Source organism: Homo sapiens, chromosome 6 (assembly GCF_000001405.40).
Source record: "Homo sapiens chromosome 6, GRCh38.p14 Primary Assembly".
Lineage (NCBI taxonomy): Eukaryota > Metazoa > Chordata > Mammalia > Primates > Hominidae > Homo > Homo sapiens.
Window position 1 is genome coordinate 32,309,696 of NC_000006.12, and position 27,285 is coordinate 32,336,980.

The window sequence follows — 27,285 nt, forward strand, 5'->3', positions numbered from 1 at the left end:
ATCAGGGTTAACTGAATATCACCTTAAGCATTTATCATTTCTTTGTGTTACAAACATTGCAATTATATTCTTTTAGTTGTTTCAAAATGTACAATAAATTTCCTTTGACTATAGTCACCCTGTTGTGCTATCAAATATTAGATCTTATCCATTCTATCTAACTATTTTTGTACCTATTAACCATTCCCAATTTTTCTCTCTCCTGACTACCCTCCCCAGGCTCTGGTAACCATCATTCTACTCTCTATCTCCATGAGTTCAATGTTTTAATTTTTAGTTCCCACAAATGAGTATGGACATGTGAAGTCTGTGGTTCTATGCCTGGCTTATTTCACTTAACATAATGACCTTCATTTCCATCCAGGTTGTTGCAAATGATAGGATCTCATTCTTGTTTGGATTTCATTCTTGTTCTGTTGTATTCTGGCACATATTATTGCTAATGAGATGTCTAGTGTTAACATGATTTTTTGCAGGTGATCTGCTTCTCTGGTTGTCTTTATGATTTGCTTTTTAATGTCTGTCAGCTTACTACGATGAGTTTTGGCACATGTAAGTGTGTGTGTGTGTGTATATATCTGTCTGTGTGTTTTAAAGTTATCTAATTTCAGCTTTCAGTGGACCATTATGATCTGAGGATTTATGTCTCTTTTCTTCTGGAATGTTATTAATTATTACATTTAAAATTATTACCTGACATTTATTCTTTTAATTCTCTCTTATCAAATTCCATTACACCTGACCTCATTCTATTTACAGCTCTTCTTTTTCATATTTTCAATATCTTCTGTGTATTATTTTGAGCTGAGATTTTCAATATTTTCCATGTACTATTTTGAACTGAGATTTCCTCAGTTCTGTCTTCCAGTTTACTCTTTTAAACTGTGATTAATAATATTTAAATATTATTTACATATAGTTACATTAGAATTTATATATTATCTAATCATTGTTTCAATTCTAATAACTTTCTTATTTTCAAGGTTTCAGCTTGGTTCTTTTTTAAATCTGCCTGTTCTTTCTTCAAACTATCTCTCAAATATATATACATATATATATATATATATTTTTAATCTTTTTAGAAAGGATAGTCTTTCTTTTATTCCCCAATAGGTAAGCCACAACCTATCAGAACTCCAGCCTTTCGTGGCCTTTTCATGCTGTACTAGCTGTCATATGCCGTATCAGCTGCCTTACCGTTTAAAATTTTATTATCTCCTTCACCTCCTCCATTTAGGCATTTCTTCCCTCCTATCTTATCAAGGTTACTTATGACATTCATTTTGCAAAATTCCTTGTCAGTTCTTACTCCAAAAATTCATTGCTTAGCTGTTTTTGATGCTGTTGTTTATTTTTTCCATATTGAAATACTATCTTCTCTTGAGTGCTGCGAGACCCCCCCTTTACTGGTTCTCCTTCTTTCTCCCTGCTCACTACTTCTCTATATGCATAGTTAGATTTTTCTCATTCTAAACTTCTAAAACTGATTAATCCTTACCCCTTCATTTTTACATATACCTTTGATTATCTAATTTAGTCCAATCGTCTTAAATGTTACCTATATGCTGATTACTGTCTAATTTATTTCCCACCCAATCTCTCCCTAAATCTTCAGACTCAAATATTTAATTGCCTTTTGATATAGAGTATATGCTTGGATGGGGGGCAGAATGTTTAGTGGGATTTTTCTTGTTACTCCCAAATTGACAAGTAGGATCACAAAGCTGAGGAAAAAGAGGTTATAACTTCCCATTACCCTCCTCAGCAAACTGAGGTGAGACAAGCCCTCAGGAGGGATTGCAGCATTGCCAGCTCCATAATTAAAAGGGAAAGGATTCTTGAGGCTGTGCAGTGCAGAGGTGCTGCTCGCCGGCCTTGACATGATGGCCAAATTAGCTCTCCTATCTCAAGTGTCACCCTTTTTCCAAGACAACATAAGCAAACAACTGTAAAGGGCAGGAGATTTAAGAGTCTTTAGAGTTGTGAGTAGTTAACAAAGGAATGGTGTTGTAGGGGAGGAAGAATAGCGCTTTCTTTTTCTGAAGGCAAATGAGTAGCACTTTGAGATTTGCTTACAGTGATTGGGGGTATCTGTGAGAAAGGATGTGTGGCAACCCATCTCCTGGTTGAATAGTGGATTTGTTGATTTGTTTTGTGCCTATCTGAATGAAGGAAAATAAAATTGGAGAGAGACAGTAGTGCAGAGTGTCCTTGTTCTGTGATAAGGATTCTTGAGCCTCCTGAGGGTTCAGTGGGCAGTGCAAAATACATCCTGGCTTGAGCCTTCTTGCTAGTATGTCACTCAAGTGGGTGGCCTACTTGGTAAGGGCATCTCTGCAGTACGAGCAATGAAGTGTATTGCTCGAGAGGGAGTTGAGGGGCTCTGGAATTGGCAAGACTAGAGTCAGTACTCCCACATCAGGGACTAGGCATGGTCGAGTTCTTGTATGTTCCTCCAAAGAACTAGAATATGTATTGTACAAGACATTTGGGTGTCTGCTCTAGATGACATCAAAGGACAGTCAGTCTCAGGTTCTCAGAGAAAAGAACCTACAACTAACAGAGGAAGGAGATTGCATGCCCCAAATCCATCCTCTCAGCCTCAACAGTGGGAATTATAACAACGGTGGGAATTATAGCAACAAGGAGAGTGGACAGGAAGGGGAAGCACATTGTATTTCTCCTCCCCATTCTGAGTCAGTGTGCCTGAGACGGGCCATTAGGAGAGGAGAGGGTTTTAAAGGGGATGGCTTAAGCATTTTAAATAATTTAGCATAACTAGAAAATTATGGGTTCTAAGACATCATTAAATGATAGGAAGGAGACACATGGCAGAGAACATGCTTGAAGCTTGCTAAGGTCAGATTATTTAATTAATTAGTCCTAAATGTTCCAGGCATCTAGAACCAAGCATACACAAAACTGAACTCACAATAGCATCCTATAAATCTGCTCTTCTCCACTACCTAAATCAATAAATAGTTTCATTCGTCAAGTTTCTTAGACCCCAAATCTAGGAGTAACCCTTGGTGTCTTCTTTTTCCCTTAAAATCACATTCAGTCGAACAGCAGGCCCTGTTGGCTTTGCCCCCAAAATAAATAAAATCTGAAGACCTTCTTCCCACTTCCACTCTGATCACTCTTCTCATTGCCACACTCACCTTTAGTTTCAGGCCTCTTAACTGGTCTTCCTACTTGCCCTCTTGAGCCCTCACTCTCACTCCAGTTAATCCTCCACAATAATAGAGTGATCTTTTAAAATTATAAAGTAGACCCTATCATTTCCCTGTTCAAGCCCTTCAGTTACTTCTCATGATGCCTAGAATGAAATCTGCAATTTTTTATTAAGGACTGCAGGGCCCGACATAATCTGGCTTTTGTCGCTCTGGCCCTACCTCCTGCTCTGCCTCCTTCTTTCTAGCCTGGCTGGCTGTTTTGCACCTCCATAGCAGGCCTGTGCATGTTGTACTTGTTCCTTTTGCCTGAAGCACACTCCCCCTTCTATACCATCTTTCTTTAGTCTGTTACTCTTCTTATTTTTCTACATGAATTTATCTGCCTGACATTTACTGTATGTTTACTTGGCATTATTTGCCTGTTTTATCTCAACATATAAACTCCTTAAGTGCAAGGACTTTGTCTTGCTCATGGCTATATTTCCAGTGCTTAGGATAATGCCTGGCCTACAATAGGCCAATATATATTTGTTGAATACATATATTTTTAAAATGCATTAATATCTTTGAAGACTTTTTCTTTTTTTTCCTTTAGTGTTTGACTTGTTCAATGCTGTTAGGTTTCTTATTTTAGTCTTCTTCAGATTGCTCTAGTTATATTTCTCTGGGTTGGAATTCTCCAATTTGTTGGGACTTGTGAGGTATCACTCATATGGTGCTGGATTTTCTCATAGATTTCATAACTTTTAGTAGTTTCTTATTCCTTGGGGGCTATCTTTCATGGATATTCTATGATATAAATACCCTGGGTTGTGGATCCCTTCTTGGTGGCTATTGTCCTAACTTCCTGGGTACACTGCCACTGAACCAGATCTCAGCTGTTTTAACTTGGAATATTATGCACACTGCATGGGTAGCACACCTCCAGCAGGGCTCTGCACCCTGGACAGATCTAACTCTGGACCTGTGTGGATGGCTTTGTTTTCATGCCTGGGGCAGATGGGTGAAGATATTTTGGCTTCTCCGCGTGGGGAGGCAGCGTGTTTTCTGCTCCTGGCTTTACTCCAAGTGGTGGAATTCCAGTTTTCTACATGTTGTATCTTGAGGCTTTGTCCACCATCTAGGATCAGGTGTTGAAACCCTACCTTTGTTCCTGAGGCAAAGCTGCTACCTCTGTTTCCTCATCCCCTCACCATTCCTCCCAAGAGCTTAACTTTAGCTTTCCTTTCTTTATATGTGTTCCTATATTCCATTTCTGCTCCTTGGAAATCACTCTTACCCTCCTTCTTTATGCTTAGGTATGACTGTGCATTTTTCATTTAAAAATATTTCCAGCCAAGACTTAGCCAGCCAAAAATGAGGTGTTATAAACCCTAGTTACTTTGGCATTCCTTTTTTCTTTCTCCCTACCCCTCGGGTGTTGGATTTTTACATTATTTCCCTGCCCATCCTCTTTGATGACTCCTCTGAAAAGGACACTATGCATTCAATTTGGGTTCTGCCTTGTAATTTCTAGCTGTGAGACCAATAATCCCTTCTCCTGAACTTTGGTGGGCCTTGGTCTCTGTTCCCAATTATATGGCCCATGTGCAAACATAGACATCTGGAATTTCCAGCTTCATTTCTGGGTCTCAACCACTGAGTATGTATTTTCATCTGTGCAGTGAGAATACTTAGCTGATCAGCCTCTTTGCTCAGGCTTCAGAAAGGTATGTGGATAGGGATTTTGGAGAGACACTCACTTATAATTCTTTGTTGACAGTTCCATTTCTCTTCACTCAAATACCAATGTCTTTGTCCTAACATTATTGAAATTAATAAAATGTTGTTATTATGAAAACTATATCCAGAGTGTGTTTAGAAGGAACTGGAGGAGGATATATAAGCATATTTGAAATCTGTTAGAATAACATAGATGTCTTTCATGTTTAAAAATTGGAAAATTTTACCTACTATCTGGATTAAGTGAGATGCTTTGACAACTCTAGATGTGAATTCTTGCATGAAGAGGTTGGCTGGAGCTGGGCAGCAGCTACCTTCTTCAGACTATGCGTGTCCTCCCAGTTTAACACAGTTCCCAGGAGACTCACCTCAACTCGCTCATTTACTGACCTGCCTGGGCTCTTTTGGCATCTGCGTTTTTAACCTTGACAGGAACTTTGGGTTTTAATATTAATGTGATTTAATTTCAGGATGAGGAATCTCAGCTGATATTGGGTTTGCTTAAATCATTTGTAACTGAGATATGAGAACCAGATTTGCATTTTGGAAAACTAGGACACAGTGTGAAAGGTGCTTTCACGAATTCTATATTAAATATCATCATGGTCAACGCTTGATCTGGTTTAAAAATTGAGTCACTGTTGGTATGTGTTACCTTGGAAGTTGGGTTTAGAACTAAAATAATGGGGCTGGGCGTGGTGGTTCACACCTGTAAACCCAGCACTTTGGGAGGCCAACGCGGGCGGATCACTTGAGGTCAGGAGTTCAAGAACAGCCTGGCCAAATGAGGAAACCCTGTCTCTACTAAAAATACAATAATTAGCTGGGCATGGTGGCTTGCACCTGTATTGCTAGCCACTTGGGAGGCTCAGGCAGGAGAATTGCTTGGACTCGGCAGGTGGAGGTTGCAGTGAGCCTAGATCACGCCACTGCACTCCAGCCTGTGTGACAGAGTGAGACTCTGTCTCAAAACAAAACAAAACAAAAAAACCTAAATAATGGGAAATATTACAGTTATGAATCAAAAAGTTTGTCTTGCAGTCCTAATCTGGAGGACTTTGGGTAATGTAGAAGCAAATGAATATGAGAAATATGAGTCTCAATCTTTTGGATACTTAGAAGTGGAAACATCTAACATAAATCTCCACATATGACCAGCTGAGAAATAAAGAACTTACTTGCAGTTCTCTGCGAAATTACTAAAAAATAAGCAAAAAGAAATCCATTTAATTTTTCTCAAATGGAGAAAACATAGCATTATCTAACATATTTTGTTGGAGTCTGTGAGGGGAGGACTTGTGTGGGCAAAGAAGGAAGCATTCCAAACCACCCTATAGATTAGTTTTAGATTAGTTTTACAATGCAAAACTAGATATAAGATTAGGCAGTGATGATGTGATGAAATCAAAGGTAGGGTTTCCTTAAAGGCCCTCTTCATTTACTGGACCCAACAGCTTTGGGTATAGTCTCGGGTAGAGACTGCCATATCTTTCTGTTTCCTTTGAATAGCATTATAATGTTTGAGAGAACACTGAAAGCCTCTCTCCATTTAAACATCATTATGGATTTCATCTCTCAATAATTCTGCTTACGTGTTATTTCATAATATTGTTCAGTTTATTACTGATGAATCCTAGCTTAGTCCCTCTTTTAATTAGTGTTTAAAAAGATTCTCTGTAATATAGACCATGTAGGGTAATAAGGAAGCAAGGGAATAATGGGAACCACAAATCACTTTGACAGAAGTGAAGTGAAGGGGACCAAAGAGAACCAAAGTAGAAAAAGACATGTAATACTTACTTATAGGTGCTGCCAGCTGACCTAAAAAAATTAGATATCAGTGAAGATTTGTTTGAAAGGAGCAAGTTTCCTTCTAGGGAGAGATATTTGTGTTGGGGAGAATCTTGGTAGTCACACAGCTCTGGATGACAATGGCTAATTCTCTGTTAAAAGCTCCAATTCTTTATGACTGCATTCTTGGGTAAGTATTTGGGTCAGTTTCTTATCTCTTACAAAGGGGTTAGTGGAGTGATTCTAAGGATTAAATGGGATAATGTAATTAAAGCACCTATATAATTCTATAGGAGGTGCAAAGTACATATGTGTTTGAAATCATGTAAATGTAAGCTTCCTTCTCAGGGAGAAGCTAGATTAGCAGAGGGCAGAGGAAACTGGGAGCTTTGAGTCAGGTAGCTGCACACAGAGTTAGAAATGAGTAGGGTAGGCCAGGCGCCTTGGCTCACACCTGTAATCCCAGCACTTTGGGAGGTCGAGGCAGGCGGATCACGAGGTCAGGAGATCAAGACCATCCTGGCGAACACTGTGATGTTCTAAAAATACAAAAAAATTTCTCCTCCCTATTCTGAGTCAGTGTGCCTGAGACTGGCCACTAGGAGAGGAGAGGGTTTTAAGAGGGGTTGGCCTGAGTGTTTTTAATAATTTAACATGATTAGAAAATTATGGTATGCTACCAGGCTACAGTAAGCAAAACAGTATGGCACTAGTAGGAAATAGACACATAGATCAATGCAACAGAATACAGAGCCCAGAAATAAGGCCACATGACTACAACTATCTGATCTTTAACAAAGCTGAGAAAAACAAGCAATGGGGAAAGGGCTTCCTATTCAATAAACGATACTGGGATAACTGGCCAGCCATATGCAGAAGATTGAAGCTGGACTCCTTCCTTACACCACATACGAAAATTAACTCAAGATGGTTTAAAGATTTAAGTGTAAAACCCAAAGCTATAAAAACCCTGGAAGACCACCTAGGCAATACCATTCTGGACATAGGAATGGGCAAAAATTTCATGATGAAGACAACAAAAGCAACTGTAACAAAAGCAAAAATTGACAGATGGGATCTAATTGAGCTAAAGAGCTTCTGCCCAGCAAAAGAAACTGTCAACAGAGTAAATAGGCAACCTACAGAATGGGAGAAAGTTTTTGCAAACTATGCATCTGGCAAAGGTGTAATATCCAGCGCCTGTAAGGAACTTAAACAAATTTACAAGACAAAAACAATCCCATTAAAAAGTTGGCAAAAAAAGGGAATAGGCACTTTTCAAAAGAAGACGTACATGCAGCTCACAAACATATGAAGAAAAGCTCAACATCACTGATTGTTAGAGAAATGCAAGTCAAAACCACAATGAGATACCATCTCACACCAGGCAGAATGGCCATTATCAAAATGTCAGAAAATAACAGATACTGGGGAGGCTGTGGAGAAAAAGGAACAGTTTTACCTTGTTGGTGGCAACGTAAATTAGTTCAACCATTGTGGGAAACAGTGTGGCAATTCCTCAAAGACCCCAAAACGGAGCTACCATTCGACCCAGCAATCCCATTTCTGGCTATATGCCCAAAGTAATAAAAATTGTTCTATCATAAAGAAACACACGTGTGTTTATTGCAGCACTATTCACAGTAACAATGACATGGAATCAACCTAAATGCCCGTCAACGATAGACTGGATAAATAAAATGTACATATACACCATGTAATACCATGCAGCCATAAAAAGGAACAAGATCATGTCCTTTGCAGGAACATGGATGGAGCTGGAGGGCGTTATCCTTAGCAAACTAATGCAGGAAGAGAGAACCAAATACCACATGTTCTCACTTACAAATGGGAGATAAATGATGAGAACACATGGACACAGAAGGAAACAACAGGCACTGGGGCTTATTGAAGGGTGGAGGGTGAGAGGACGTAGACAGTCAGGAAAAATAACTAAGGGGTTCTAGGCTTAATACCTGGGTGATGAAATAATCTGTACAACAAACCTGCATGACACAAGTTTACCTATATAACAAACTGCACATGTATCCCTGAACTTAAAACTTAAATAAAAATAAAGAAAGCAAGTTGATACTACTTATCATAATATTTCCTTACAAGTAAATAAAGGAAAGCTAAAAAAAGCCAACCAAAGACATAATGAAATATTATTTGGCCATAAAAAGAACTGAAGTACTGCTGCATATTACCATGTGGATGAACCTGGTGAACCTTATGCTAAATGGAAGAAGCCAGGCACAAAAGACCTCCTATTGTTTGATTCCATTTATATGAAATGTCCAGAACAGCTGAATCTATAGAGACAGAAAGAAGATTAGTGGTTGCCTGGGGCTATGGTGTGGAGAGGGTTTTGGGTTGGGGGATAGTGGGAAGTGATTGCTAAACAGAGTTTTTCTGGGGGGTGATGAGAATGTTCTAAAATTCATTGTGGTGATGGTTGCACAACCCAGTGAATATACTAAAAAGCATTAAATTCCACACTTTAAATGAGTGAATTGTGTCATATGTGAATATCATCTCAATAAAGCTGTTATTTACAAAGATAAAAAAGATAAAATTATGGGTTCTAATGCATCATTAAGGGACAGAGAGGAGATATTTTCCAGAAAACATGCTTGAAGCCTGCTAAGGTCAGATTATTTAATTAATTAGTCCTAAATATCCCAGGCATCTAGAACCTAACATATGCAAAACTGAACTCACAATAGCATCCTATAAATCTGCTCTTCTCCGCTACCTAAATGAATAAATAGTCTCATTCGTCAAGTTTCTTAGACCCCAAATCTAGGAGTAACCCTTGGTGTCTTCTTTTTCCCTTAAAATCACATTCAGTCGAACAGCAGGCCCTGTTGGCTTTGCCCCCAAAATAAATAAAATCTGAAGACCTTCTTCCCACTTCCACTCTGATCACTCTCTCCTTGCCACACTCACCTTTAGTTTCAGGCCTCTTAACTGGTCTTCCTACTTGCCCTCTTGAGCCCTCACTCTCACCCCAGTTAATCCTCCACAATAATAGAGTGATCTTTTAAAATTATAAAGTGGGCCCTATCATTTCCCTGTTCAAGCCCTTCAGTTGCCTCTCATGACACCTAGAATGAAATCTGCAATTTTTTATTAAGGACTGCAGGGCCCGACATAATCTGGCTCTTGTCGCTCTGGCCCTACCTCCTGCTCTGCCTCCTTCTTTCTAGCCTGGCTGGCTGTTTTGCACCTCCATAGCAGGCCTGTGCATGTTGTACTTGTTCCTTTTGCCTGAAGCACACTCCCCCTTCTATACCATCTTTCTTTAGTCTGTTACTCTTCTTATTTTTCTACATGAATTTATCTGCCTGACATTTAGTATATGTTTACTTGGCATTATTTGCCTGTTTTATCTCAACATATGAACTCCTTAAGTGCAAGGACTTTGTCTTGCTCATGGCTATATTTTCAGTGCTTAGGATAATGCCTGGCCTACAATAGGCCAATATATATTTGTTGAATACATATATTTTTAAAATGCATTAATATCTTTGAAGACTTTTTCTTTTTTTTCCTTTAGTGTTTGACTTGTTCAGTGCTGTTAGGTTCCTTATTTTAGTCTTCTTCAGATTGCTCTAGTTATATTTCTCTGGGTTGGAATTCTCCAATTTGTTGGGGCTTGTGAGGTATCACTCACCACTCACATGGTGCTGGATTTTCTCATAGATTTCATAACTTTTAGTAGTTTCTTATTCCTTGGGGGCTATCTTTCATGGATATTCTATGATATAAATACCCTGGGTTGTGGCTCTCTTCTTGGTGGCTATTGTCCTAACTTCCTGGGTACACTGCCACTTAACCAGATCTCAGCTGTTTTGACTTGGAATATTATGCACATTGCATGGGTAGCACACCTCCAGCAGGGCTCTGCACCCTGGACAGATCCAACTCTGGACCTGTGTGGGTGGCTCTGTTTTCATGCCTGGGGCAGATGGGTGAAGATATTTTGGCTTCTGTGCATGGGGAGGCAGTATATTTTCTGCTACTGGCTTTACTCAGAGGGGCCTAATTTCAGTTTTCCGCATGTTGTATCTTGAGGCTTTTGCTGTCATTTGGGAGCAGATGTTGAAACCCTACCTTTGTTCCTGAGGCAAAGCTGTCATCTCTATTTTTTCATCCCCTCACTGTTCCCACCAAGAGCTTAACTTTAGCTTCTTCTTGCAATGTGTTCCTATATTCAATTTCTGCTCCTTGGAAATCTTACCCACCTTTTTTATGCTTAAGCTTGGCTGTATATTTTTCATTTATAGATATTGCCAGGTAACACTTTTTAAACTTTTATTTTAAATTCAGGGACACATGTGCAAGGTTGTTATATAGGTAAACTTGTGTCATGGGGGTTTGTTGTACAGATTATTTTTCTACCCAGATATTAAATCTAGTTATTTTTCCTGATCCTCTCCCGCTCCCACCCTCCACCCTCTGACAGGCCCCAGTGTCTATTTTTCCCCTCTGTGTGTCCATGTGTTCTCATCATTTAGCTCCCGTTTATAAATAAGAACATGTGGTATCTGGTTTTCTGTTCCTGCATTAGTTTGCTAGGGGTAATGGCCTCTAGATCCATCCGTGTTCCAGCAAAGGACATGATCTCATTCTTTTTTTGGCTGCGTAGTATTCCATGGTGTATATGTATCACATTTTCTTTATTCAGTCTACCATTGATGGGCATTTAGGTTGATTCCATGTATTTGCTATTGTGAATAGTTCTGTGTTTAACATAACTGTGCATGTGTCTTTATGATAGAATGGTTTATATTCCTTTGAGTCTATACCCAGTAATGGGATTGGCCAGCCAACACTTAGCTATCCAAAAAGCAGGTGGTATAATCCCTAGTTACTTTTGCGTGCTTTTTTTCATCCCCTCTACTAGGATGATATATAGGATCCAAGACCCTATATATCTATTGGGTCTTGGATTTTTACATCTTTTTCCTGCCCATACTCTCTGATGACTTCTCTGAAAAGGACACTATGCCTTCAATTTGGATTTTGGCTTGTAATTTCTAGCTGTGAGACCAGTAATCCCTTCTCCTGACCTCAGGTGGGCATTGGTCCCTGTGCCCAATTATAGGGCCTATTCCCAAACATGGGCATATGGATTTTGCAGCCTCATCTCTGGGTCGGAACCATTGTCTCTGTATTTTTATCTGTGCCGTGAGAATACTTAGCCGATCAGCCTCTTTGCTAAGGCTTCAGAAAGATGTGTGGATGAGGACTTTGGAGAGACACTGGCTAATTCTGTGTTAATAGCTCCAATTCTCCTCTCTCAAATACCAATGCCTTTGTCCTAACATTATTGAAATGAGTAAAATGTTATTATGAAAACTGTATCCAGAGTGTGTTTAGATGGAACTAGAGGGGAGTATGTAAGTATGTTTGCAATCTGTTAGAGTAACCCAGATGTCTGTCATGTTTAAAACTTGGAAAATTTTACCTACTATCTGGATTAAGTGAGATGCTTTGGCAACTCTGAATCTGAATTCTTGCATGAAGAGGTTGGCTGGAGCAGGCAGCAGCTACCCTCTTCAGACTATATGTGTCCTCCCAGTTTTACACAGTTCCCAGGAGATTCACCTCATCTCACTCATTTACTGACCTGCCTGGGCTCTTTTGGCATCTGCATTTTTAACCTTGACAGGAACTTTGGTTTTTAATATTAGTGTGATTTAATTTCAGGCTGAGGAATCCCAGCGATGTTAGGTTTGCTTAAATCATTTGTAACTGAGATATGAGAACCAAATTTGCATTTTGGAAAGGTAGGACATAGTGTGAAAGGCGGTTTCACGAATTCTATATTAAATATCATCATTGTTAGTGCTTGACCTGGTTTAAATATTGAGTCACTGTTGGTATGTGTTACCTTGGAAGCTGAGTTTAGAACTAAAATAATGGGAAATACTACAGTTACGAATCAAAAAGGTTGACTTGCAGTCCTAATCTTGAAGACTTTGGGTAATGTAGAAGCAAATGAATATGAGAAATATGAGGCACTTAGAAATAGAAACAACTAAGATAAGAAAAGTCCCCACATATGACCAGCTGAGAAGTAGAGTACTTACTTGCGGTTCTCTGTGAAATTACTGAAAAATAAGCAAACAGAAATCCATTTAATTTTTCTCAAATAGAAAACACATAGTATTATCTAATATATTTTGCTGGAGTCTGTGAGGGGAGGACTTGGGTGGGCAGTGAAGGAGGTATTCCAAACCACCCTATAGATTATTTGGTTTTAGATTAGTTTTATAATGCAAAACTAGATGTAAGATTTAGCAGTGATGATGTAATGACGAAGTCAAAGGTAGAGTTTCCTTAAAGGCCCTCTCCACTTATTGGACCTGAACAGCTTTGGGCATAGTGTTGGGAAAAGACCACTGGATCCTTGCACTATAATGTTTGAAAGAACACTGAAGGTTTCTCTCCATTTAGACATCATTTTGGATTTCATCTCTCTCTCTCTTTCTCTCTCCACCCCCCTGAAAATTCCTCCTACTTGTTATTTCGTAGTATTGTTCAGTTTATTGTTGATGAATGCTAGCTTAGTCCCACTTTTAATTAGTATTTTAAAAAAATTATAGGGCAAGCAGGGTAATAAGGAAGCAAGAGAAGAATGGGAAACTCAAATCACTTTGACAGAAGTGAAATGAAGGGGACCATAGAGAACCAAAGAAGAAAAAGAGATGTTATACTTACTTATGGGTGCCATGGGTGGACCTAAAAACCAAAGTAGATATTGGTGAAGATTTCTTTGAAAGAAACAAGGTTCCCTCTAGGGAGGTATATTTGTGTAGGGGAGAAACTTGGACACCTTTCTGGGTCTAAATTATGATTCTATGACTATGTATTCTTGAGTAAGTATTTGGCTCAGTTTCTTATCTCTTACAAAGGGATTGGTGGAATTATTCTAAGGATTAAATGAGGTAATGTAATTAAAGCACTTAAATAGTTCTAGAGGAGATACAAAGTAAATATATGTTTGAAATTATGTAAATATAACTTCTTTCTCAGGGAGAAGCTGGATGAGCAGAAGGCAGAGGAAACTGGAAGCTTTGAGTCAGGTAGCTGCACACAGAGTTAGAAATGAGCAGGGTAGAGACAGGTCTCTAAGCCTTGCAGGGAACAACAAGAACAACAACAGAAAAGAGTAGAAAAAGAAATTGAACTTACCGCGGGGTGCTGAAGGTGGACCAGCTGAAAAACAGAGAGGTATCTTAGCAACTGTTTTTTCTCCCATGATATTTTCCTTTCTATGTAGAGAGTTTCTTCTTGGTAGGTCATTATAACAATAGGGAAAACTTTCCCTTTGGTATTCATTTATTTTTAATATGAATCAGCAGAATGCGAACTTTCAAAAAATCATTAATAACTTCATGGAATTTTGATGATAGGAAAGTAAGTGGTTAAAGTAGTATGCACCCCAAGCCTGGAAATCTTAGCTGTACCAGGGAAAGGAGAGATTCCAGAATCCTACGGTGGTGAAAACATGGACATACTGATGGCAAGTGAAATGAATCCAGCTTGCAACTAGACCAGAAACAATTATCTCCTTTTTCTTTCCCCATTGCTCAAATTGTCTTTCAGTTTGTTAAGTCCCTTGTAATATATCATTTTGACCTGCTGATAAACTTTCTCCCCTGCCCTTTATTTTTTAATAAAATAGTAAGTTTGATTTTTTCCATAGAGTTATTTAAAAGGTGAGAGAATGATGTGTCACATGAAAGCAAAACACGGAGGAAATAACAACTTAAAGTTGTTATTTAAAGTTTAGGCTTAAATCCTCTAAAGTCTCTAAAAGGTGATACAAATTTTTCTTAGATGTTTTGGAATTTAAATGTGGAAAAAAGAGACCAGATATGGCAGGAGGTTCAAATGAAAAAGGGTTACAGAAACTTCTTATCTACTCCTTTCTCTCCTACCATTTTTTCCCTTTTTAAGGTAGTCTCTTGTTGATGGGCTTTGAAATTTTGTAAAATTTTTTTCTCTGCTCTGACTTATCTCTTCCCTTTTTGCAGTGACTGGTAACTGCTTGAAATCCTGCAGGGGATTGTAAATTGATAGTCTTAAAACTTTCCAGTACATCATGAATAATGCAGAGAGGTTTTGATAATGAGACAGCAAGAGGCCAAGATATATCTCAAGCCCTTTGTATCCCAATATGGGCAGATAAAGACTCTTGGACTCCACTAGAGACCGAGTCCTAAAGGAGAGAATTCAATGAACACATAGACTTACTGATTGTGTGAGGATGCGATCTGACTGAAAAACAAGCAAAGATACTTTTTGTTACCCCTTTCTTGTTTCTTTTCCTACTCATTTTTTTTTCTATTGGTAAATTTACTAGTGATATACTTGCTTGAACATTTTTTTTTTTAATCAAAGGCACTAGAAATTTCCAGAAAACTAATTATCAGCTGGTTGAATTCTGGATAATGGAAAAACAAAAGGCTGAGAAAATAGAACTTCAAGTTCCATGTTGCAACTCAAGTTCCAATAGACATCAGTGGACTTTGATAAGTGCACCACAGAGAAACAAATAAATAACTGACTAATTGCCTGTATAGATGACTTATCTAGAAAGCAGAAATGGATCTATATCATTTTTCTGTCATTTTTTTTCCTTCTGCATGGAAAGTTCCTAACATTCTTTAGAGTCATGTAAAAACTTTTTTCTCAGGTCTTTATTTTTTATGCGAGTCAGTGAATGTTCTAGAAACTTATTAATAATTTATTTATGCCTTTCTGCCCATGGATGCCATGGAAGAAGCATCATTAAAGTCTCTCTTCTCCTGGCCGTCTTATCTAAGTCAGAGTCTCCTAAAGAGCCAGAACAACTGAGGAAGCTCTTCATTGGAGGGTTGAGCTTTGAAACAACTGATGAGAGCCTGAGGAGCCATTTTGAGCAGTGAGGGACACTCCCGGACAGTGTGGTCATGAGAGATCCAAACCCAAGCACTCCAGGGGCTTTGGATTTTTCACATATGCCACTGTGGAGGAGGTGGATGCAGCCGTGAATGCAAGGCCACACAAGGTGGATGGAAGAGCTGTGGAACCAAAGAGAGCTGTCTCAAGAGAAGATTCTCAAATACCAGGTGCCCACTTAACTGTGAAAAAGATATATGCTGGTGGCATTAAAGAAGACACTGAAGAAATCACCTAAGAAATTATTTTGAGTAGTATGGAAAAATTGAAGTGATTGAAAACATGACTGACCGAGGCAGTTGCAAGAAAAGGGGATTTGCCTTTGTAACCTTTGATGACCATGACTCCGTGGATAAGACTGTCATTCAGAAATACCACAGTGTGAATGGCCACAACTGTGAAGTTAGGAAAGTCTGTCAAAGCAAGAGATGGCTAGTGCTCCATCCAGCCGAAGAGGTCGAAGTGGTTCTGGAAACTTAGGTGGTGGTCATGGAGGTGGTTTCGGTGGGAATGACAACTTTGATCATGGAGGAAACTTCAGTGGTTGTGGTGGCTTTGGTGGCAGCTGTGGTGGTGGTGGATATGGTGGCAGTGAGGATGGCTATAATGGATTTGGTAATGATGGGAGCAATTTTGGAGGTGGTGGAAGCTACAATGATTTTGGCAATTACAACAATCAGTCTTCAAATTTTGGACCCATGAAGGGAGGAAACTTTGGAGGCAGAAGCTGTGGCCTCTATGGTGGTGGAGGCCAATACTTTGCCAAACCATGAAACCAAAGTGGCTATTGTGGTTCCAGTAGCAGCAGTAGCTATGGCAGTGGCAGAAGATTTTAATTAGGAAACAAAGCTTAGCAGGAGAGGAGAGCCAGAGAAGTGACAGGGAAGCTACAGGTTATAACAGATTTGTGAACTCAGCCAAGCACAGTGGTGGCAGGGCCTAGCTGGTACAAAGAAGACATGTTTTAGACAAATACTCATGTGTATGGGCAAAAAACTCGAGGACTGTATTTGTGACTAATTGTATAACAGGTTATTTTAGTTTCTGTTCTGTGGAAAGTGTAAAGCATTCCGACAAAGGGTTTTAATGTAGATTTTTTTTTGCACCCATGCTGTTTATTGCTAAATGTAATAGTCTGATCGTGACACTGAAAAAAATATATATTTGTGTTCTGAGTAATGGAAAAATAAGGGACCAAGGAAATTGGAACATTATCATATCACAATGTGGATGCATACATTTTGGCTTAAGATATGTTAGACACTGCTGGAGATAATTGAGTTTCACTCATGAAGGGAAATGGTCAAACTTACAAGAGGATCCTGTAGCTGAAAAACAAAGATAAATCAACGTGTACAGCCTGCTGAAAGAGGAGCTAGTTTTCGTACTACTTTCCTGAAAGGAAATATCAGAAATGGCAATGGAAGAAACATCCTTCTTAGGTCAGGGGCATAGAGCGCTGTGCTGGGGAATATACCTGCCATCATGCCTTGTGGGGATTCTGCCTTCTGCTTAGTATAGGAGGCTGCAGGAAAGGGAGATGATTGATCTCTTCCCTTTTTGCAGTGAGTGGTTACTGCTGGAAATCCTGCAGGGGATTGGTAATTTCTTTAAACTGTGCTGCCTTTACCTTTCTTCTCCCTATTTCTGCCATCCTGTGAAAGCTTTCATTTATTCATACAAATATCCTTCCCTTCCCTTGTTGACAAGTCACTATAAACTTTGGGTAGTTTCCGAACTTTATCTCTCTATTTTGGGTTTGGTATTCTCCTTTATTCATTCCTTATAGGAGTGGAGCAGCAGCTAAATAGAGGAATAAGCAAAAGAAATGAAGAAATGTGAGTTTCTACACACACAAGACAGAAATGAGCAGAGAGGAAAAGTATGCCAGGCCCTATAGGAAGCCAAAGGCAGCTATCATACAATAGACATGGAACTTAACCAGTCATTTCTGAAGTTTCATCTGGTGGTAAAAAACGGAAGGAACACAAAATGGAGAAATCAACATGTGTAGAACCAAGTGAATTCAGTTCTCCCTTGATAGGCTTAAAGAGGGTAACTGCAGAGAGGATATGGGGGGCCCTAAAATCTGACAGCTCAGTGCATGTCCGGCCTTACGTGCCTTACTTTGTGCTTTGTAGCCTCAGACCTGTTTCTGCTGGTCTGAGGCAGGAGATTGGCTATAAAGTGGTAAAGTGAGGCTTTGTTCTTCCTTCTCATTTCATTTAGGGACAGTAGATGCTTGAAACACTTCTAGAGGTTCATAATGTCTTAAACTTATATGTACTTTTGTCAGTCTAATTTTCTTTTTCTTTTTTTTTTTCTTTTTGAGACAGAGTCTTGCTCTGTTGCCCAGGCTGGAGTGCAGTGGCATGACCTCAGCTCACTGCAACCTCTGCCTCCCAGGTTCAAGCGATTACAGGTACCTGCCACGAAGTCTGGCTCATTTTTGTAGGTTTTTTTTTTTGAGACGGAGTCTTGCTCTGTCACCCAGGCTGGAGTGCGGTGGCGTGATCTCGGCTTACTGCAAGCTCTGGCTCCTGGGTTCATGCCATTCTCCTGCCTCAGCCTCCCAAGTACCTGGAACTACAGGCACCCGCCACCATGCCCGACTTATTATTATTTTTTTTTTTTTGTATTTTTAGTAGAGACAGGGTTTCACTGTGTTAGCCAGGATGGTCTCCATCTCCTGACTTCGTGATCTGCCCACCTTGGCCTCCCAAAGTGCTGGATTACAGGCGTGAGCCACCAGTGCGCCGGGCCTAATTTTTGTATTTTTAATAGAGGCGCGGTTTCATCATGTTGGCCAGGCTGGTCTTGAACTACTGACCTTAAGTGATCTGGCTCACGGGGCCTCCCAGAGTGCTGGGATTATAGGCGTGAGCCACTGCGCCCGGCCTCATTTTTTTTTGTGTGTGTTTTTGAGACAGAGTCTCGCTCTGTCGCCCAGGCTGAAGGGCAGTGACACGATCTCGGCTCACTGCAACCTCCACCTCCTGGGTTCAAGCGATTCTCCTGCCTCTGCCTCCTGAGTAGCTGAGATTACAGGCGTGCACCACCACGCCCAGCTAACTTTTGTATTTTTTTTTTTTAGACAGAGTCTCACTCTGTCACCCAGGCTGGAGTGCAGTGGTGAGATCTCGGCTCACTGCAATCTCCACCTCCCAAGTTCAAGTGATTCTCCTGCCTCAGCCTCCCAAGTAGCTGGGACTACAGGCATGCGCTACCATGCCTGGCCAATTTTTTGTATTTTTAGTAGAGACGAAGTTTCACCATGTTGGCCAGGCTGGTCTTGAACTTCTGACCTCAAGTGATCCACCCACCTTGGCCTCCCAAAGTGCTAGGATTACAGGCATGAGCCACCTTGCCTGGCCAAATTTTTGTATTTTTAGTAGAGACGGGGTTTCACCATGTTTGTCAGGCTGGTCTCGAACTGCTGACCTCGTGATCCACCTGCCTCGGGCTCCCAAAGTGCTGAGATTACAGGCATGAGCCACCATGCCTGGCCCTGGCCTCATTTTCTTTAGTCACTCTTGTTCACTAACCTTTTAATTAATTAATTATATTTAAGAGGTACAAGTACAGATTTCTTATGTCATATATGGCATAGTGGTGAAGTCTGGGCTTTTAGTGTACCCATTACCCAAATAGTGAATATTCCACCCAATAATTTTTATTGACTTGAAAAGCTTTCTTCCTACTCTTCTTTACTAGGGCTGTTGCGAGCCACTAATTTTTGTTAAAGTCATTTAAATTTTAATCAGTTCATTTTGCACTTTCTCCAAATCGCTTATAACTTAGGGGAAAGCTAGAAAGGAATAAAATAGCAATATATTTTTCATTTATACACTATCATATTTTTAAATTGTTTACACATAAGGGAGAGGGAGTCAAGCAGGGGAGAAAAGGGAAAGGGAATTCATGTATCCATGTAGATTCTCTGGCACATGGTGGCTATTAGGGAACTGTGGACCAGATGTGACCCTTCCTTTAGCCCCAGTGAGATCCTCTGAGGTGAGCTGGCTTATGTTTATCCTCCCTGTAATAATTATGAGAACTTCCAAGGCTATAAGTCTTGGCAATCTGTGAGTACTGAGAAAAGCAGTCTTGATTCAGGGGAATAGTCAATAACAAATGGCTCTTATTCATTCACAAAAAGGATAGTTAGAACCAGAATTCAGGGCAGTAAATATCCAGTTTTAATGGTCGTAGTGTGGTTGTGTGGGATGCTGCCTGCCCTCTACACATTTTGGGTTTGTTTTCCCAAGTTATCTTATAGGACTGTAAACTCCATGGCGTCAGTGACCAACCATATCTTTCTCTCCCTTATTCATGACTTTATCCTCAGTGCTCAGCTTAGTATCAGATACATGGTAGGAGCTCAGCTAGATGAAGGAATGTTTGTTTGAATATATGTGACTTGCCCTCTGATAATTCTTCCTGCTTGACTTAAACTTTCTAATGCTATCCCTTAATTTCTAGATTCAGAATTTCCCGTGTCCTGGGGTTGGTTCGATGCCCTAGATTTTAACACCAGTTTCTCCCTAGCTCGTCACAATATGAACTTTCACTTTATTCTCTTCCATATGTGATGCTTCTGCCAGTTCCTGTAAATTACAGCCCAATTACTGTTATATCCTGTTCCATGAGGTGCTCTGTCCTATCTTTCTTTTCCTCTCTCTTTGTCGTGCGTGTGTGTGCGCGCGCGCACGTGTGTTGGGGATGTTTGGAGATAGTGAGCCGGATAGGACATGAGGAAAGAGAAAGGCCTTTGGAGAGAAAACTGTAGAACTCAGGTTAGACTAGACCCTGCATAGTATTTCCTGTTAAATTTTGTTGTCTTTTCTCCCTTTTGTATTTATTCTTAAAATTTGATTTTCTTTTCTCATTTCCTCCTCATTGTCTCCTCCATTATCTTTGAGTAGGCCCTTTAGAAACTACAAAGCACTTCAGAACTGGAAAGCTGCCCTTATTATTCTCTCTCTGCTACTTTAGAAAATTCTTGTATATTGTTATAGAAGACATTATGACTATTTCTGGGGACATTTTCTTACTCTTTTTCTTTTAAAAAAAATAGCCCTGGAGAATTCTCAGTAGGTTGAAATCAGGAAGCATAAAAACATGTGTAAAATAACTGCTCTTATGGCAGTGAGACACATCTAGGGCATTTGAGACAGGGAACAGGCCCTCTAGACACTGTAGAAGATCAAGGAACCTGGAGGGAGAAGGATAGATAAGGTACTTACCATTGGATCCAGGATATTGTACTAAAAAATAGAAACAAACAAATTAAACACACACACACACACACACACACACACACACACACACACTTCTATTTTTTGAGACAGAGTCTCTCACTCTGTCGCCCAGGCTGGAGTGTGGTAGGGTGATCTTGGCTCACTGCAACCTCCACCTTCTGGGTTCAAGGGATTCTCGTGCCTCAGCCTCCTGAGTAGCAGGGATTACAGGTGCCCGCCACCATGCCTGGCTATTTTTTGTATTTTTAGTAGAGATGGGGTTTCACCATGTTGGCCAGGCTGGTCTCGAACTCCTGACCTCAGGTGATCCTTGGCCTCCCAAAGTGCTGGGATTACAGGTGTGAACCACTGCGCCTGGCCCCAAAACACCTCTATTAGTGATATTTTCCAAAGGCAAGCAGTGAAAATGATTTTCTCAGGAATTACTAAATCTCAGTATTCAGGATTAAATATTTTTCACTGCACTGCTGCTGTACTCTAGCCTCTCCATAAGAACCAGATCTTCTTTTAGGAGATTATTAACCCTGTTTTAGCATAACCACTTCATTCTTGCTTTTCATTGTAGGTGTTGGAGATGAGATCCTTAATTGTATTCCTTTCCATATTCCCCCAGTGTTTTTCCTCAGATCACTCTGTTTCACTCTCAGCTATCTTTATGTTCTTGTTCATTTCTTATATTCTTTTCCAGATTCGATTACACCTTTGCCTTAGGAAGTTATTCTAATGATTACTGACAAGCCACTATAATCATTATTAGAACAATGCCTATCTATTATGAATTTTAAGGTAATGGAATTTCCATTTTCTAAAATATAATTGGTTGCCCAGAGAGATGGTTAGTGTTAATCCAAACTGCACCATTTTGTAAGCCTCCAGCAATTTGAAGACCTTGGTAAAAGTGAAACATTCCACGGGGGTTCGGGCTGTGAGAAACATTCTGCCTAACCACCTGAACACAAGGTGGACAAAGGGCCAACTAAAGAAACATCCCTGTCATATTCAGCTGGGAGAAAGTGCAAGGAACACTACATTCTGCAGGAACAAGGGCCAGAACCCCCTCATCATGGGAACATCTTATCAATATCCTGCCGGCCAGCAAGCCATACTACCCAGACCCCTCCCGCCTATACCTATAAGTACCCCCAGCCTGTAAGCAGCAGTGGGCACTGGCATTAGGCTGGTTCCCCACTTCTGTAGGTCTTATGCTGGACGTAAAGCCTACATTTGCTGTACAGCCGCCACTCTCTCTGTGTCTTTTCTTTAACCCTCGCCTTCCCTCCAAAACCTAACAGTTACGATATGGGGAAATGAAAGTCTAAGAAATATGATTTTCAGCTTCTTTAACCCAGATACTTAAACAGTTGGAGCCAGTCTCCTTCAGACATAGTAAGAAGCCAGTAGAGATAAGTTGATATATACAGGCAGCTTACCAATAGGTCCTGGAGTTTGCACTAAAAAGAAATTCAAATTGGCATATTAGTACAGTTATTTGGAGAGTGTATTTTTCACTAATTTTATCCTAGAAGTGAGGCTTTGAGAGGTAGAGCAGGGGAGAGGAAGTGATATCAGTTATGAGATCATTAGGGAGACTTAATCCAACTATATTAACTATAGAAAAAAGGAAAAAGGATATTTAGCATTTACTGCAATATTTCAGCCCAAGGTGAAGGTTTTTATAGGATCCTTGCCAACCTAAGGGATACTAGGGAAAGGCAAAACTTTGTTATTAGGTATTAACATTACTGATGGTAGGGAAAGGTGAAACACTTCCTGTCAGTAAGAGTAGAAGATATTTCTTTCTCAAGGGACTGTTCTTTCACTAAAATCTTTATTTCTGATCAACTAATATGTTCCAGAGGTAGACATTAGAATAGGAGGTAAGAATCTAGTTTCTTCTTCTCACAGCTTCCAGCTTATTGGAGAGTGATAGAGCAGTGACTGCTGCTTTGATTAGCTTTAGAGTCTGTGAGCAAAGAGTCAACAAAACCTTCTGTTTTTTTTTGTTTTGTTTTGTTTTGTTTTTTGAGATAAGGTCTCACTCTGTCACCCAGGCTGGAATGCAGTGGTGCAATCCTAGCTCACTACAGTCTCGACCTCCTGGGCTCAAGTGATCCTCCCACCTCAGCCTCTTGAGTAGCTAGGACTACAGCTGCATGCCACTATTCCTGGCTAATTAAAAAAATTTTTGTAGAGATGGGGTCTTGCTCTGTTGTTGCTCAGGCTGATCTTGAACTCCTGGTCTCAAGTGATCCTCCTGCCTTAGCCTCCCAAAGTGCAGAAATTACAGGTGTGAGCCCATGCCTGGCCAAAACCTTCAGTTTTTAATGAGAATTTGGCCTTCAGTTGATTTTCTAGCTCTGATCGCCTGGTGACCTGATAAATATCGAAAGCCTGTTATGTTTTTTTTGTTGTTGTTTTTTTTTTAGACAGAGTCTTACTCTGTCGCCCAGGCTGGAATGCAGTGGCATGATCTCGGCTCACTGCAACCTCTGCCTCCTGGGTTCAAGCGATTCTCCTGCCTTAGCCTCCTGAGTAGCTGGGACTGCAGGCGCACGACACCACACCCAGCTAATTTTTGTATTTTTTTAAGTAGAGATGGGGTTTCACCATATTGGCCAGGCTGGTCTCAAACTTCTGACCTTGTGATCCCCTGGTCTTAGCCTCCCAAAGTGCTGGGATTACTGCACCCAGCCGAAAGCCTGTTATGTTATTTAGCAACACTGCTTACATAAGAATGATCCTTGATGTTAGACTGCATCTGAACTGGGAGAATTGTAAATATGTATTAAGAAGCCATAACTTTGGGCTTCCCTGAGTGTAGTGACCCATGTATTTGGTCATATTCCTTACGGGATCCCTGCAGGTAATGTGTATGGGGTTCTTATAGGAGATTTTAGTTCCTGGTGGATCTGTGGGGTTTCTAAGCTAGGTCAGCTCCCAACTCAACTGACAGAAGGCCAAACAGAATAGGTCCTAGGTGGCTATGTGGACACCTGCATAGATCATGGCGAGTACTACTCCCACAGCAGAGGGATAGCTGTTAATGCCCTTGCTGGCAAACTGTGCTTCCTCCCTTAGGTCCTACTGAGTAGACTGTTCCCAGATGAGAGCTATGGTAATCTTCTAAGTCTGCGTGGTTAGTTGAATCTAAAAAGACCATATCTTCACCCAGTGGGCATTGCAGTTAATAATCCTTCACTTCAGTGTCACTCAGAATGAGAAATATCCACATTTTGATCAATAATCCTCGAACTTTTAACTCTGAATTTTTTTTTTCCTGTGTAAAACACCTGGAAGATGGCTTTCCAGATCTGGATACCCTTGGCTATGAGCAGTAAACCAGTTACACATTTAGATATTATGCTAACTTAATAGTTGCTTTGCCTGTATCTACAAATATGTATCTTTGATTCTGAAGTAGAAGTCTTATGATACCTGCCCTCTTGACATAAGTTACTAAATCCTTGGATAGGTGATCACTTCAAAATTTTGTTTCTTCAGTTTTTCTATATTTTCTTCCTTCCTTTCCGGTTTCAATTTGTGACTTTTTGTACCTTTATTTTTATTCTCTTTCTCAACATACTCATTTCCCTTCTTTATTCTCTTATGTGCCAATTCACTTACTCTTTCTGCTTCCAATTTTCTTCCTACTTTTGTTCTTTTTAAATTTTCTCCTATTTATCTCTCTCTAAACTGCATCTTCATTCTGTATCTGTTATTATTTGTGTTACTCATTCTCTCACTTTTTCTCCTCTAGGCCTTTACTACCCTTTAATCTCAATATTAGAACTTCATTTTATTCATTGTTAATAACCTGTTATAACACCCAAAAATGATAGTGGAAAGAATGAAGAGTTAGTAAAACTTCAGTCTTAATTTTATTAACTAACCCATCCTCTTATTTTTTTGAGAAATGACTCCTGACCCTCAGTTTCCTCATCTCTAAATATGGGGATAATAACTGCCTTACTCATTGCCATTTGAATGTTGTTTAGATGCAACAAAGTAATGTACGCGAGGGTTAAAAAAACAGTAGTAAGACATTATAGGGATCACTCAAAGAATGTGACTAGGTTGCTAAAAGTTGCTGAAAATAGAGCCTAACTCTTCTGGAGAGAACTTTTCAGGGCAATTAGAAAGGAAAGGAAGGCCAGGCGCAGTGGCTCACGCCTGTAATCCCAACACTTTGGGAGGCTGAGGCGGGCGGATCACGAGGTCAGGAGATCGAGACCATTCTGGCTAACAGAGTGAAACCCCATCTCTACTAAAAATACAAAAAAATTAGCCGGGCGTGGTGGTGGGTGCCTGTAGTCCCAGCTACTCGGTAGGCTAAGACAGGAGAACGGCTTGAACCCACGAGGTGGAGCTTGCAGTGAGTGGAGATCATGCCACTGCACTCCAGCCCGGATGACAGAGCGAGACTCCATCTCAAAAAAAATAAAGAAAGGAAACTTAAAATTTGCATTATTTTACAAAGTGAAGATAATCTAATAATGGAAAAATTATTTGCATGGAAAGCACAGCAGGAAGTTTAGGTGCTGGGTTCTAAGTCTTTATTAAGTATTGGCTCTACAGAGCTAGATTATATGCTGAAGTGGAAACAGCTTAGGACCATCTCTAGCAGGATATTTTTCACTTTGCATTTCAGCTTCATAGTTAATATATTTTTATTGCAGAACCTGGATGAGTCCAATCTGGAGTACTGGGTGAGATTATGAGGTGGCAGAAGGACTTGATCCTTGAGTCCTTGGGCATGAATAATTGAAATAAAAATAGATTGATGTTCTAAGTAAAGTACTAAAAGGCATTATAATTGAGAATCAGATGACTTACCAATGGTTTTTTGAGAGAGCTCTAAAAAAAAAAGAGAAAAGAAATCAGTAGCTATATATATATTTTATATATACTTTTTATTTATATACTTTAATTTGTATACTTTCCCTAGTAGGAATCTGCATCACTATTGTCAAGTTCAGCTGCAGTTGAGTAGTAGAAATGGTGACTTTCTTGCTATGGCAAACTAGTACATATAAGGGCCTCCTCATCTAAAAATCCCTTGTGTGATGCTGAGAAGCCATTGGAAATCTGCAAGGGTTCATTCTCCACTTTGTAGTTTGTTTTTATTGGTGAGGTGTACATTCACACAGCTAATCATGACTTACTGAAATGCTAGGTTGAAGAAAAATAAGGGTTGAAGAAAATGTGAACTCCAAACCCTTGAAATCCCAACATGGAAACCAGGTAGCGATCCCTAAGATACTGCAGGAAAGTAAAATGCTCACTGTGGAGAATCAGAGAGCAAACTTACTGATAGGTCCTGTAGCTCCGGCTGTGAGAGAGAAAGAGGGAGAAAGAAAAAGATATCAGTATGCTTCACCACTGTGAAGGAAATTTCCATTTCCCAACACTCGCTCTAGGGAGTATCATAAATAGAAACAACGGGAAGATCAAGAGTTGCTTGTATGGCGAGCCTCAGGCAGGCTCCCTGCACAATATAAGGGACCTACAGGAATGGAGGCCTCCTCCTGCTTTCAGTGATGGTTGAAAATCTTCAGAGGGTTGGGAAAGACTCACTCCATATTAATCTGTTATGCCTCTATTTTTCTTCTTACATTTTCTTGCCCCTTGCCCCTAGTTTCCTTAGAGACATGGTTTATTTGAAAGGTGTACCTTCCCTTGCTGATGGATCATTATGACTATTTCTAAGAGGGCTGTTTTGGTTTATATTTTTAAATGTTAGCCTGTGAGATTTCTTAACACTTCGTGCATGGCCTCTTTGGAAACTATGTAATAGGAATGCCAGGGGAGTTGAGAAAGACAGTGTTAAAAAAGCAAGTCACCCCTAAACCTCAGCATCACACAATATACCCATTAGCAAACCTGCATATGCACCACCGGAATCTAAAATAAAAGTTGAAATTATTTTTAAAAATGCAGGGCAGATCAGGCCCCAAGACCTTGTAGGTCAGATATCAAAGGGACCAGAGTGGAAAAACAAACTTGATACTTACGAATAGGGGCTGTGAATTGCACTGAAATACAAAAAGGAGGAAAGTGTGGTTTGACATTAATAGAATTTTCATTTTACCAGTATTGTTTCTAAAGAAACTATGAAGCAATTCAACCAGAGGAGAACAACTACTGTGGGACTGCAGATGATCTTAGCCTGGAAGCTGCATAACCCTCCTACCAGATCAAATCATTCAGCATCCATCTTAAATGAGAAATTTAAGTAACTAAAAATAATAAATATAAATAATTAAAATAAACTACAGTTTTAAACATGAATTATTTGGCTTTCCCTTGTCCTAAACTCAGTAGCAATTCAGGATATTGTGTCTGATTGCTTGGGCATCAGAAGGTGTCAGAAGATTTGA

At 39.9% G+C, this 27,285-nt stretch overlaps 1 protein-coding gene, 1 long non-coding RNA gene and 1 pseudogene across 8 annotated transcripts in view; 2 read left to right on the forward strand and 1 right to left on the reverse strand.

Annotated features, from left to right (window-relative positions):
* TSBP1-AS1 (TSBP1 and BTNL2 antisense RNA 1) overlaps positions 1-27,285 on the forward strand; it is a 152,558-nt gene that overhangs the window by 54,523 nt on the left and 70,750 nt on the right. The window lies entirely within an intron of this gene.
* TSBP1 (testis expressed basic protein 1) overlaps positions 1-27,285 on the reverse strand; it is a 79,206-nt gene that overhangs the window by 16,998 nt on the left and 34,923 nt on the right. The window contains exons 2-13 of one of the 5 annotated variants that reach the window (XM_017010182.2): positions 26,920-26,940; positions 26,217-26,237; positions 25,742-25,762; positions 22,339-22,359; positions 20,894-20,914; positions 14,961-14,984; positions 13,896-13,919; positions 13,422-13,442; positions 12,791-12,811; positions 6,699-6,719; positions 6,077-6,097; positions 4,919-4,975 (exon numbers count right to left, since the gene is read on the reverse strand). In XM_017010182.2, the coding sequence (XP_016865671.1) occupies positions 4,919-4,975; positions 6,077-6,097; positions 6,699-6,719; positions 12,791-12,811; positions 13,422-13,442; positions 13,896-13,919; positions 14,961-14,984; positions 20,894-20,914; positions 22,339-22,359; positions 25,742-25,762; positions 26,217-26,237; positions 26,920-26,940 (294 nt within the window). The remainder of the gene's footprint in view (positions 1-4,918; positions 4,976-6,076; positions 6,098-6,698; positions 6,720-12,790; positions 12,812-13,421; positions 13,443-13,895; positions 13,920-14,960; positions 14,985-20,893; positions 20,915-22,338; positions 22,360-25,741; positions 25,763-26,216; positions 26,238-26,919; positions 26,941-27,285) is intronic. The other 4 variants (XM_024446307.2, NM_001286474.2, NM_001286475.2 and 1 more) reach the window with 4 other exon arrangements.
* Positions 15,503-16,826, forward strand: HNRNPA1P2 (heterogeneous nuclear ribonucleoprotein A1 pseudogene 2; annotated as a pseudogene).